We start from the raw sequence: 13678 nt of genomic DNA, 5'->3' as shown, positions 1-13678 counted from the left end.
TTGTGCTGCCTGCAAAACTGGTCCTGTACACAAGGTCATCTTTGGTGGAAAGGAAATGGAACAGTCTAACCCCTAGGAAACACATGAAGTGGTTGTTTGCTGTGAGGGATAAGATGGATTTTCAATGTTGACAAAAGATATGAGAAACTCTGAAGGGAATATGAATTGGCTCATTATTTAAATATTTCCTAAAGGGATTTCACTACCATCTTTTGTGAGGTGATGCAGAATCTGTGTCCTAGAGGTAGCCAGTTTTCAGAGAAATGATTTTGTGCAGGGTGGTTACAATGGCTATTTGAGACCTCAAATGGTCACCTTCACATCTGAATAAGACGAGTCTGATCATTTCGCATTCAGTAAACTGAGTCTAGAAGCCTTTGTTTTCAGAATGAATTTTTTTTTGCAGTATGTATATAAAATATTTTAAGGGACAACTCCTTTTAAACCTTTCAGTTTGTTCCCCTTCTTATTTTAATCAATGATAACAGGGAGAAGCTCTGCTTGAAGAATTTTTTTAAAGCTTTTCTTTGAACAGGTTAATTTTCTCATTTATTTTTTACATTTTTCTACATGCACTGAAGGTCAAAAGAGTTCTTAGATTTAAACTAGGACGTAGCATTCTGCATAAAACATCCCAAAGGACTTTTTTTAAGTGTAAGGAATCTAAAAAGCATTTGCTTAGAAACTCCTATGTTTCACACACCACTATACAAGCACTGGGTTGCTTTAAAAAGGAATTAAAACAGAGGGTCTTGTACAGCAAGTTGGTTGCACATTTCTTATTTTTGTGCCCCTTTTTCTAGACTGAATCTTTGCACAGTAATTTTGAGTAAGGAATATGCATTCCAAGACTTTCAAATTTCAGGAAAAAAAGTTGGAGGGATTGACAGAGGTTGCTCAACTTTTATTTCATTGAGGTATTTTAAAAAAAAATCTATGCTTTTTCATAAATAAAATAACATATAATTCCCCAAATATAAAAAGGATATAATCTCAGAAAAAAAGACAGTTCTTTTAATTGAGGTAATTGAGTTAACATCTGATGATTTTGTCCTTATTTTTTTTCCCCACTTTCCAGTGAATTTTGGAACATATCCTTAGGGCTGCTTTCTGTCTATGGAAAGGCATTGGAAGTTGGCAATAAAGGTGGCTGGATTTCACCTTAGGGACAGGCTATTTAAAGTGAGATAGGAAATTGAGCAGGAGTTAACCAGAGGAAGTGTGAGCCTAGGAATCAAGGCCCTCACAGAAGCAGGCACCAAGAGTACCCTAGTGCCTTGGAATGCAGATGGGGGGCTGGGTCAGGGAGGTGGTGGTGGGGAAAGGCATATACAAGGTGAGCTGGGGGAGGAAACTTGTAGGATTCTTTTTATTTATTCTGTTTTTCTTTTTTTTATCTTCATAGTGCCTGATTCAAAACCTATGTAGCTAGTCACATTCTGAACATCATAATGTTTTGGAGATGGACTAGGATTTTGGAGTTATAAAGTTATGCGACAGAAAGAATTACACAAGACTGATAATAGGGAAATCTGGGATTTTCTGTAACTCTAACTCTGTCAGGCTGTACCTGAATGACTCTGGCCCATTCATCTCTCCTCTTGGAGACTTCATTTCCTCACAGTGACCTGGATAAAGATGGCTTTGAAACAGATGATAAAATATCACTCTTAGTTTTGAGTTTATGGTTCTGTGATTTTAAGTTATCAAGAGACCTATAGACTTTATGGTGTGATGCAGGGAGAAAATACTCGGAGTATAGACTTGGGAATATAGTAGACTTGTTTTCCTTCTTTAAGTGAAAAAAACTTTTCTTAGTAAGTTCTTCTTCACCCTCCATGAAAACCAAACAAGCTTTAATGACTATAAAAGGCAAAGTTTTTATTGTCAAATAATTATTATGTTAATAAAAGAAAAAAATAAATGAAACTTTACTGGGATAAGGAGAGTGGCCAAGTAGGATATTGGCTTAGGTGAAAGTCTGAAAGACTGCTACCCAATGCATTAGTTAACATCATGTTGTTGATTTCCTATAGGCAAAGCACTGTTTGAGACATTAGGCCAAGTTAGAGAAATGAGTTGATCAATAAGAAGGATTCTATACAGGCAAAAGGAACAACAGGCACAGAACGATTTTAAAAATTATGTGATATGGTCAAAATAGCCGTTAAAAAATGATTTTGGTTGTTGAAGATGATATCATGGTTGATCAAGTAGAAGAAAGGAAATAAGTGGAATTGGGGAATATTAGTTCAAAAAGAAATTAGAATGTTAGTCTGTTGTATAATTTAGGTTTATTGATTCAGTACTAAAGTATCTATCCTTTGTGCTAAGCTTTGCTTTATAATCTATAAGACAGGCACAATAATCATTCTCTCAGTGATGTTTTGCAAGAATTAAATAAAATAATGTAGAGTAGTAGCAACTGTATGTGTTTGCATATGAAATCCAAAAAACATGGTAAAAAAAAGAGAATAAAGAAGCAAGAAAAAGATACAAGGGAGAGAATAAGAGCAAAGAAGTCAAAGACCATGTATTACAAGAGTGGTTCTCAAAATGTGGACTAGATCTAGATCAGCAGCACAGCATCACCTGGAACTTGTTAGAAATAAAAATTATACATGCCTGCGAAACCAGAACCTCTGGGGCTGGAGCCCAGAAATGTGTTTTAACAGACCGTTCAGGTGATCCTGATGCTTGGCTAAAAATGGAGAACCATTGTGTTAGAGTGAGGAAACACAGGATGAGCCGAAGCGGTCTATAGCAGCTGTTTATTCTCTCATTTAAGAAATAGCCCTTCAACAATGGCTTTGTACAGAAATTGCTCAAGGTCTTGAGGATGTACAGATTTCATAGTTTGCTGTCATTACTTATAAGGCATGTTTCTAGTCATTTCTTTACTAAAGCCTCTTCCTCTTTTTCCTTTAATATCAGTCCTTAGGGGCTTTGTTCCTTTTTCTCTGCACATAGTTTCTCTTGATTTTTCCCCATGTTACTTTTTATTGATAAATCCTAAATCCATATTTCTTTCCTCCATCTTACCCAACCTTCTGTCTCATACGTTCCACAGTTTTCAGACTTCTTGATGTCATTACAAATTCAACATAGCTAAACCAATATCATACTCTTCCTTCCCATACAATCCCCCTTCTCATGTTCCTGTTTATAATTTTCCAGTTGAGTTTATGGTATCGTCCCTCTTTCTATTTTCATTTAACTAGAGCAAACTGGTTAAGGGCATGACAGCTGAAGTCAGATTTGTCTGGATTCAAATCCTAGCTCAGCCATTTATTAACTATAACTTGAGTAGCTACTCTATGTGTCAGTGTCCTTGACTATAAAATGAAACGATAATAGCAGCTCTTCTGGGGTGTTATAAGGACTAAAGGAGTTAGTACATGTAAAAACTTTAGAAAAGTAGCTGGCACTTAATAAATGTGCAATAAATGATAGCTATTTTATTGTGGGTGTTAATTCTTTTTCATTTGTTCCTTATATTCTCTATTATCTGTCAATTCTTTAAATTAGTTGTAGGGAATGTTATAGTATAGGTATGGTATAGTATAGTATACCTTCCAACATTTCTTCCATCCCATTAGGTACACAGTCTAAGCCATCAGTATATATTCTTGTGTGGATCTGCTCAGTCCGTGGTAAACCTGTGACCTAAGAAGATGAACTGATTTGGGTAAACATATGACCTAAGATGAACTAATAAAGCTGAAGAGACAGAGTTATATTAATCTGTTTCTGGTTGAGAGGGGAGATTTCTCCTGAATGAGAACAAGGAACTATATTACCTCTGTCCCTGTGGACAGGACACTTCTGTCACAAGGCAGGTCTGCCTGAGGACAGTTTTGTCTCACTCACCATGGATGGATGAGTATAGAGGTGAAAAGAACTTCGGTTCTTGAGAACATTGTCCTGTTGAACCTCTGAATTGAGCAATCATGGAGCCCATTCTATCATTAAATATGTCGCTATGTGAGATAAATTTCTTAGGAACATTTGATTTCAGATTTCCTTTCTTACAGTCAAAAGCGTATAATGAAGTCATTTGCCATTCTCATTCCTAGAATTTAGGAACTTTATAAAAAGGTGCCTATCTTTTTCTGCTTCGATTCTCTTCCCACCCACTTCAGTGTATCTCTCAGATCATTTAAGCATCCCTTAATAACTACTAATCTCTAACATCATCAAGCTCAAAGTCCTTCATCTAACACAGAAATCTTTCATAAGTACCTTCTACCTTTCAAATTGTAATTTTTATTTATTTTGTTTTCTCCTGAATTTCACATTTATACATCTGTTATAACTTAGATTAATCTGTCTAATAAAAATCTCAAGCTTACTAAACCCAAAGCCGAGGTATTAATTTCCCTTGTTTGTTAACCTACTTTGGGTTCATGCTTGACCAGTTCAGTTAATGATACCATCATCCATTTATTTGTTCAGAAAATAAGCTTATCCTGATTTCTCTCTTTACCTCACCCATCATATAACATCCAAACAGTTTCCAGTCCTATCAGTTTCACAGCTATGAGAGACCTGTAGCTGCCACTTTCACATCTCAATTACACCACCCTAGACTGAGTCATCACCCTCTCTCTCCTGGATTACTGCACTGGCTTCCTAACTTCTCTTACTACATTCACTCTTGCTCACTGCCTCTGCTGCACTCTCTCCTTCTCACCATATATCTTTCTCTACTTTAAGAGCCAGAGGTAAAAAATGCTTCTTTAAAAATTTCCAATGGCTTGTCTTTGCCATTAGAAAAAACTCTTAAGTCTTTACTATGTTTTTCAAGGTTCTATTGTATATCTGGGCCCAACTAACTCTTTAATCTCCTTTTATATGACTGCCTTGTTTGTTCCCTCTCTTTGAGTCAACATTGGCCTCCTAGTCATTCCTTAAACACTCCCAGCTGGTTCCCAATGCAGGGCTTTTATATCTGTTGCTTCTTATGCATTGGATATTCTTCCTCCAAAATTTCCATTTGAGGTTGTAATAAAATGTTCCCTCCTTTGGATAGTCTTCTGTGTCCCACCCCCATGCTGATCTACCTTTATTCTCTGTCCCAGTTATATTTTCTTTAAGGCAAATTTTCCAATATAAAATTATCCCATTTATTTTGTTTTCTTATTTATTGTCTGTGTCTTCCTCTGACTTGCTAGTAAAATGTAAGCTTCAGGAAAGTAATAATCTTGTCAGTCTTGTTCACTGTTTTATCTCTAGATAAATCAAAGAGTTTCAAGCACTAAGTAACTGCTCAATAAATATTTACTGATTGAATGAATAAACATGAATTCTAATCTCTAGTAAACTGCTTGCCTTAGTAGTCATAGTGATGATAGGATTGTCTTCTTTCCCCCTCAAATATTATTAACAAAAATTCATTGAACACCTACTTTATTATGGAAGATGAAAAAGGAAGTGTAAGATAGATTTTGTAATTCTTTGCAAGCTAAGAATTTAGAATATATTTGAAATGTCAAGTATGAACACAAGAAATGATTAATTAACAAAAATGTGACATCAGTGGTACAGGGAAGATAAAACATGGAAATTTAATAAAGAGCTGAATTTTCTATAGAAGCCTTATGGTAAGGCTGGTCATAAGGTGAGGTCCACAAAATGTATTAGATGTGAATAGTCTGGAGAGAAAGGGATGACCCAGGTATCCAGGAGACAGGCAACATGATGTGCTAAGAGATTTAATTAGGTTTGTGACCATGGAATGGAAAGAATAGGAATGCAAAAAAGAGACATTTGAAAACACATTTTTGCCTCAACCTTTTTCTTTTTATCTCTATGCCCTTTCCATTGGCTATCTTTGGCTTTTACTGTTTTAATGGAGAGTTTGCCCAAGTCAATAACCATCGCTCCAGCCTCTCTCTCAAATTCCCACCCTACTTTGTCATTTCTTTGTCATATTCCCTACATTTCCTTATATGGGTATATCATCCTCTGGTGCCCCAAGTTCAACATACCTAGACCAAAATTAGCACTTTCACTCTCAAACCAGTTTCCTCTTCTGGCTTCTCTTTTGTTAATGACTTCTTGATCTCTCAGCCGGTGAGGCTAAAGATTTCAAAATGATTTTGCTCCCCTCTTTCCGTTGATTTCTGTGTCCATTTGATGCTCAACACTAAGTTCACAATATCTTTTCCTTCCCTTTCATTTCTTTTGCCTTCACTCCAGGTCAGGCCTTTGACTTTGCCTGGGTCATTCATTCATGAATTTTTTCACTCAGCTAATATTTATCAAACAGCTATTATGTATTAGGCTTTCTTCCAGGCACTTTGGAATACGTCTCTGAATAAAACAGACACAAATCTCTGCCTTCTTGGAGACATTATAGATACAGCATGGCCTCCTATGTGGTACTCTCTCGTCTAGTCAATTCCTTTCATTTCATTGCATATTTTTTTTTCAAACTGATCAAAAAGCATGCTTCTGATTATGGCTAGGCTTTACTAAACCCTTCAATGATTCCCCTTGTCCTAAATTGAGTCAGGCTGGTCTGATATTTACAGCCTCTGAGACCCAGTCTATTTTCTCATCTACCTTAATGAATGATTTTGAGTCACTTTACTGAATACATTCTGGTTAAGAAGTAATTTGTTTGGCAAATTTCTGCACTTGCTAAAAACATGCAGAAAAGAGGAAATTAATACTAGTAAAATTCATGCTGATTAGCACCAAGAATATAAGAGGCTCCCTAGAAGGGCCACGATGGTTTTTTTAGGGAGTACTAAAGGGATCTTGGTTCATTAATGGAAAATACACAGAAAATTGAGAAAAATCATCAGAACAAAAATTTTACTATCAAAACCACTATTTTGGATAAAGATTAAAAACCTTACAGAGTAGAAATCTCACGATTTTTTTTAGCGTGCCAGTTCCTTTCTGTCATGCCATGGACATTGCTCATGGAACATTGGTAAAAATATCATTAAGATGCAAGTTTTAGTGGGGAGGAGCCAAGATGGCCGAATAGGAACAGCTCCGGTCTACAGCTCCCAGCGTGAGCGACGCAGAAGACGGTGATTTCTGCATTTCCATCTGAGGTACCGGGTTCATCTCACTAGGGAGTGCCAGACAGTGGGCGCAGGCCAGTGTGTGTGCGCACCGTGCGCGAGCCGAAGCAGGGCGAGGCATTGCCTCACCTGGGAAGCGCAAGGGGTCAGGGAGTTCCCTTTCCGAGTCAAAGAAAGGGGTGACGGACGCACCTGGAAAATCGGGTCACTCCCACCCGAATATTGCGCTTTTCAGACCGGCTTAAGAAACGGCGCACCACGAGACTATATCCCACACCTGGCTCGGAGGGTCCTACGCCCACGGAATCTCGCGGATTGCTAGCACAGCAGTCTGAGATCAAACTGCAAGGCGGCAACTAGGCTGGGGGAGGGGCGCCCGCCATTGCCCAGGCTTGCTTAGGTAAACAAAGCAGCCTGGAAGCTCGAACTGGGTGGAGCCCACCACAGCTCAAGGAGGCCTGCCTGCCTCTGTAGGCTCCACCTCTGGGGGCAGGGCACAGACAAACAAAAAGACAGCAGTAACCTCTGCAGACTTAAGTGTCCCTGTCTGACAGCTTTGAAGAGAGCAGTGGTTCTCCCAGCAAGCAGCTGGAGATCTGAGAACGGGCAGACTGCCTCCTCAAGTGGGTCCCTGACTCCTGACCCCCGAGCAGCCTAACTGGGAGGCACCCCCCAGCAGGGGCACACTGACACCTCACACGGCAGGGTATTCCAACAGACCTGCAGCTGAGGGTCCTGTCTGTTAGAAGGAAAACTAACAACCAGAAAGGACATCTACACCGAAAACCCATCTGTACATCACCATCATCAAAGACCAAAAGTAGATAAAACCACAAAGATGGTGAAAAAACAGAACAGAAAAACTGGAAACTCTAAAACGCAGAGCGCCTCTCCTCCTCCAAAGGAACGCAGTTCCTCACCAGCAACAGAACAAAGCTGGATGGAGAATGATTTTGACGAGCTGAGAGAAGAAGGCTTCAGACGATCAAATTACTCTGAGCTACGGGAGGACATTCAAACCAAAGGCAAAGAAGCTGAAAACTTTGAAAAAAATTTAGAAGAATGTATAACTAGAATAACCAATACAGAGAAGTGCTTAAAGGAGCTGATGGAGCTGAAAACGAAGGCTCGAGAACTACGTGAAGAATGCAGAAGCCTCAGGAGCCGATGCGATCAACTGGAAGGAAGGGTATCAGCAATGGAAGATGAAATGAATGAAATGAAGCGAGAAGGGAAGTTTAGAGAAAAAAGAATAAAAAGAAATGAGCAAAGCCTCCAAGAAATATGGGACTATGTGAAAAGACCAAATCTACATCTGATTGGTGTACCTGAAAGTGATGTGGAGAATGGAACCAAGTTGGAAAACACTCTGCAGGATATTATCCAGGAGAACTTCCCCAATCTAGCAAGGCAGGCCAACGTTCAGATTCAGGAAATACAGAGAACGCCACAAAGATACTCCTCAAGAAGAGCAACTCCAAGACACATAATTGTCAGATTCACCAAAGTTGAAATGAAGGAAAAAATGTTAAGGGCAGCCAGAGAGAAAGGTCGGGTTACCCTCAAAGGAAAGCCCATCAGACTAACAGCGGATCTCTCGGCAGAAACCCTACAAGCCAGAAGAGAGTGGGGGCCAATATTCAACATTCTTAAAGAAAAGAATTTTCAACCCAGAATTTCATATCCAGCCAAACTAAGCTTCATAAGTGAAGGAGAAATAAAATACTTTATAGACAAGCAAATGTTGAGAGATTTTGTCACCACCAGGCCTGCCCTAAAAGAGCTCCTGAAGGAAGTGCTAAACATGGAAAGGAACAACCGGTACCAGCCGCTGCAAAATCATGCCAAAATGTAAAGACCATCGAGACTAGGAAGAAACTGCATCAACTAATGAGCAAAATCACCAGCTAACATCATAATGACAGGATCAAATTCACACATAACAATATTAACTTTAAATATAAATGGACTAAATTCTGCAATTAAAAGACACAGACTGGCAAGTTGGATAAAGAGTCAAGACCCATCAGTGTGCTGTATTCAGGAAACCCATCTCACGTGCAGAGACACACATAGGCTCAAAATAAAAGGATGGAGGAAGATCTACCAAGCCAATGGAAAACAAAAAAAGGCAGGGGTTGCAATCCTAGTCTCTGATAAAACAGACTTTAAACCAACAAAGATCAAAAGAGACAAAGAAGGCCATTACATAATGGTAAAGGGATCAATTCAACAAGAGGAGCTAACTATCCTAAATATTTATGCACCCAATACAGGAGCACCCAGATTCATAAAGCAAGTCCTCAGTGACCTACAAAGAGACTTAGACTCCCACACATTAATAATGGGAGACTTTAACACCCCACTGTCAACATTAGACAGATCAACGAGACAGAAAGTCAACAAGGATACCCAGGAATTGAACTCAGCTCTGCACCAAGCAGACCTAATAGACATCTACAGAACTCTCCACCCCAAATCAACAGAATATACATTTTTTTCAGCACCACACCACACCTATTCCAAAATTGACCACATACTTGGAAGTAAAGCTCTCCTCAGCAAATGTAAAAGAACAGAAATTATAACAAACTATCTCTCAGACCACAGTGCAATCAAACTAGAACTCAGGATTAAGAATCTCACTCAAAGCCGCTCAACTACATGGAAACTGAACAACCTGCTCCTGAATGACTACTGGGTACATAACGAAATGAAGGCAGAAATAAAGATGTTCTTTGAAACCAACGAGAACAAAGACACCACATACCAGAATCTCTGGGACGCATTCAAAGCAGTGTGTAGAGGGAAATTTATAGCACTAAATGCCTACAAGAGAAAGCAGGAAAGATCCAAAATTGACACCCTAACATCACAATTAAAAGAACTAGAAAAGCAAGAGCAAACACATTCAAAAGCTAGCAGAAGGCAAGAAATAACTAAAATCAGAGCAGAACTGAAGGAAATAGAGACACAAAAAACCCTTCAAAAAATCAATGAATCCAGGAGCTGGTTTTTTGAAAGGATCAACAAAATTGATAGACCGCTAGCAAGACTAATAAAGAAAAAAAGAGAGAAGAATCAAATAGACACAATAAAAAATGATAAAGGGGATATCACCACCGATCCCACAGAAATACAAACTACCATCAGAGAATACTACAAACACCTCTACGCAAATAAACTAGAAAATCTAGAAGAAATGGATACATTCCTCGACACATACACTCTCCCAAGACTAAACCAGGAAGAAGTTGAATCTCTGAATAGACCAATAACAGGCTCTGAAATTGTGGCAATAATCAATAGTTTACCAACCAAAAAGAGTCCAGGACCAGATGGATTCACAGCCGAATTCTACCAGAGGTACATGGAGGAACTGGTACCATTCCTTCTGAAACTATTCCAATCAATAGAAAAAGAGGGAATCCTCCCTAACTCATTTTATGAGGCCAGCATCATTCTGATGCCAAAGCCGGGCAGAGACACAACCAAAAAAGAGAATTTTAGACCAATATCCTTGATGAACATTGATGCAAAAATCCTCAATAAAATACTGGCAAACCGAATCCAGCAGCACATCAAAAAGCTTATCCACCATGATCAAGTGGGCTTCATCCCTGGGATGCAAGGCTGGTTCAATATACGCAAATCAATAAATGTAATCCAGCATATAAACAGAGCCAAAGACAAAAACCACATGATTATCTCAATAGATGCAGAAAAAGCCTTTGACAAAATTCAACAACCCTTCATGCTAAAAACTCTCAATAAATTAGGTATTGATGGGACGTATTTCAAAATAATAAGAGCTATCTATGACAAACCCACAGCCAATATCATACTGAATGGGCAAAAACTGGAAGCATTCCCTTTGAAAACCGGCACAAGACAGGGATGCCCTCTCTCACCGCTCCTATTCAACATAGTGTTGGAAGTTCTGGACAGGGCAATCAGGCAGGAGAAGGAAATAAAGGGTATTCAATTAGGAAAAGAGGAAGTCAAATTGTCCCTGTTTGCAGACGACATGATTGTTTATCTAGAAAACCCCATCGTCTCAGCCCAAAATCTCCTTAAGCTGATAAGCAACTTCAGCAAAGTCTCAGGATACAAAATCAATGTACAAAAATCACAAGCATTCTTATACACCAACAACAGACAAACAGAGAGCCAAATCATGGGTGAACTCCCATTCACAATTGCTTCAAAGAGAATAAAATACCTAGGAATCCAACTTACAAGGGATGTGAAGGACCTCTTCAAGGAGAACTACAAACCGCTGCTCAAGGAAATAAAAGAGGAGACAAACAAATGGAAGAACATTCCATGCTCATGGGTAGGAAGAATCAATATCGTGAAAATGGCCATACTGCCCAAGGTAATTTACAGATTCAATGCCATCCCCATCAAGCTACCAATGACTTTCTTCACAGAATTGGAAAAAACTACTTTAAAGTTCATATGGAACCAAAAAAGAACCCGCATTGCCAAGTCAATCCTAAGCCAAAAGAACAAAGCTGGAGGCATCACACTACCTGACTTCAAACTATACTACAAGGCTACAGTAACCAAAACAGCATGGTACTGGTACCAAAACAGAGATATAGATCAATGGAACAGAACAGAGCCCTCAGAAATAATGCCGCATATCTACAACTATCTGATCTTTGACAAACCTGAGAAAAACAAGCAATGGGGAAAGGATTCCCTATTTAATAAATGGTGCTGGGAAAACTGGCTAGCCATATGTAGAAAGCTGAAACTGGATCCCTTCCTTACACCTTATACAAAAATCAATTCAAGATGGATTAAAGATTTAAACGTTAAACCTAAAACCATAAAAACCCTAGAAGAAAACCTAGGCATTACCATTCAGGACATAGGCATGGGCAAGGACTTCATGTCCAAAACACCAAAAGCAATGGCAACAAAAGCCAAAATTGACAAATGGGATCTAATTAAACTAAAGAGCTTCTGCACAGCAAAAGAAACTACCATCAGAGTGAACAGGCAACCTACAACATGGGAGAAAATTTTCGCAACCTACTCATCTGACAAAGGGCTAATATCCAGAATCTACAATGAACTCAAACAAATTTACAAGAAAAAAACAAACAACCCCATCAAAAAGTGGGCGAAGGACATGAACAGACACTTCTCAAAAGAAGACATTTATGCAGCCAAAAAACACATGAAGAAATGCTCATCATCACTGGCCATCAGAGAAATGCAAATCAAAACCACTATGAGATATCATCTCACACCAGTTAGAATGGCAATCATTAAAAAGTCAGGAAACAACAGGTGCTGGAGAGGATGCGGAGAAATAGGAACACTTTTACACTGTTGGTGGGACTGTAAACTAGTTCAACCATTGTGGAAGTCAGTGTGGCGATTCCTCAGGGATCTAGAACTAGAAATACCATTTGACCCAGCCATCCCATTACTGGATATATACCCAAATGAGTATAAATCATGCTGCTATAAAGACACATGCACACGTATGTTTATTGCGGCACTATTCACAATAGCAAAGACTTGGAACCAACCCAAATGTCCAACAATGATAGACTGGATTAAGAAAATGTGGCACATATACACCATGGAATACTATGCAGCCATAAAAAATGATGAGTTCATATCCTTTGTAGGGACATGGATGAAATTGGAAACCATCATTCTCAGTAAACTATCGCAAGAACAAAAAACCAAACACCGCATATTCTCACTCATAGGTGGGAATTGAACAATGAGATCACATGGACACAGGAAGGGGAATATCACACTCTGGGGACTGTGGTGGGGTCGGGGGAGGGGGGTGGGATAGCATTGGGAGATATACCTAATGCTAGATGACACATTAGTGGGTGCAGCGCACCAGCATGGCACATGTATACATATGTAACTAACCTGCACAATGTGCACATGTACCCTAAAACTTAGAGTATAATTAAAAAAAAAAAAAAAAAAGATGCAAGTTTTAAATATGTTTTCTTAGGCAGCAACATACAAAATAAAAACATGTTGATTTTGATCATTTTCATTAGTTACTAACATTTAAAAAATAAAGAGCTTTATAAAATGACAGAAGCAGAATGGATTATTATGAAAAAAGTAAATGAACACATTGAGGTACATATTTCTCTATTTGAAATTGGTATTAAAACAGAGAACTACGTTCACAAAGACAGAAATCGTTAGAGCTTATGTTAGACTTACCTGGGCTATATAGAATAATGACTCTTATTCCATATAAAAATTCTTATATTTTTATCTTAGTAATAATTCATGTCTAGAAGTATCAGATTCTGTTTCATATTAGTAAACGTTTAACATGTGAGTAGACTGTCTGACCAATTATGATGTTAGTTTATTTGAGCTGCTCAAAGAACTATGAAATGGGATAGATAAGAGGCAATTACGAATTCCACCAATTAAAATGTAATGATGAATTAAAACTTCCATGAAGGAAGAATTAAAGTTTTGATTAAGTAGAGTCTTAAACTAACTTGTAGCAAAAGAAGATGAGAGGAAGGGAAAATATTTCAGTATCGTCCCATAGCTTTCAATTTTCAATATATTTACTTCTGGTCAGCTGATGCAAGACAGTTTCAATTTCAGATGGATCTCTCCCTCCC

The 13678-nt window shown here is 38.5% G+C and overlaps 1 protein-coding gene across 15 annotated transcripts in view, besides 2 other annotated features; it reads right to left on the bottom strand.

Moving 5' to 3' along the window:
- Positions 1-13678, bottom strand: part of GRID2 (glutamate ionotropic receptor delta type subunit 2) — a 1506491-nt gene that overhangs the window by 159145 nt on the left and 1333668 nt on the right. The window lies entirely within an intron of this gene.
- Positions 1160-1454: a silencer, noted in NCBI's record as "tiled region #1337; HepG2 Repressive non-DNase unmatched - State 24:Quies". NCBI's record gives its function as "represses a minimal TATA promoter and a strong SV40 promoter by Sharpr-MPRA in HepG2 cells {active_cell/tissue: HepG2}" and the evidence as "EXISTENCE:reporter gene assay evidence [ECO:0000049][PMID:27701403]".
- Positions 7318-7985: an enhancer, noted in NCBI's record as "H3K27ac-H3K4me1 hESC enhancer chr4:94564478-94565145 (GRCh37/hg19 assembly coordinates)". NCBI's record gives its function as "activates a minimal SCP1, AML or CMV promoter by ChIP-STARR-seq in primed H9 embryonic stem cells {active_cell/tissue: H9 hESC(primed)}" and the evidence as "EXISTENCE:reporter gene assay evidence [ECO:0000049][PMID:30033119]".

The sequence above is a fragment of the Homo sapiens genome, chromosome 4 (genome assembly GCF_000001405.40).
Source record: "Homo sapiens chromosome 4, GRCh38.p14 Primary Assembly".
In the NCBI taxonomy this organism is placed as follows: domain Eukaryota; kingdom Metazoa; phylum Chordata; class Mammalia; order Primates; family Hominidae; genus Homo; species Homo sapiens.
Note: the sequence above shows the minus strand (reverse complement) of the source record. Positions and strands in the feature narration are given on the sequence as shown.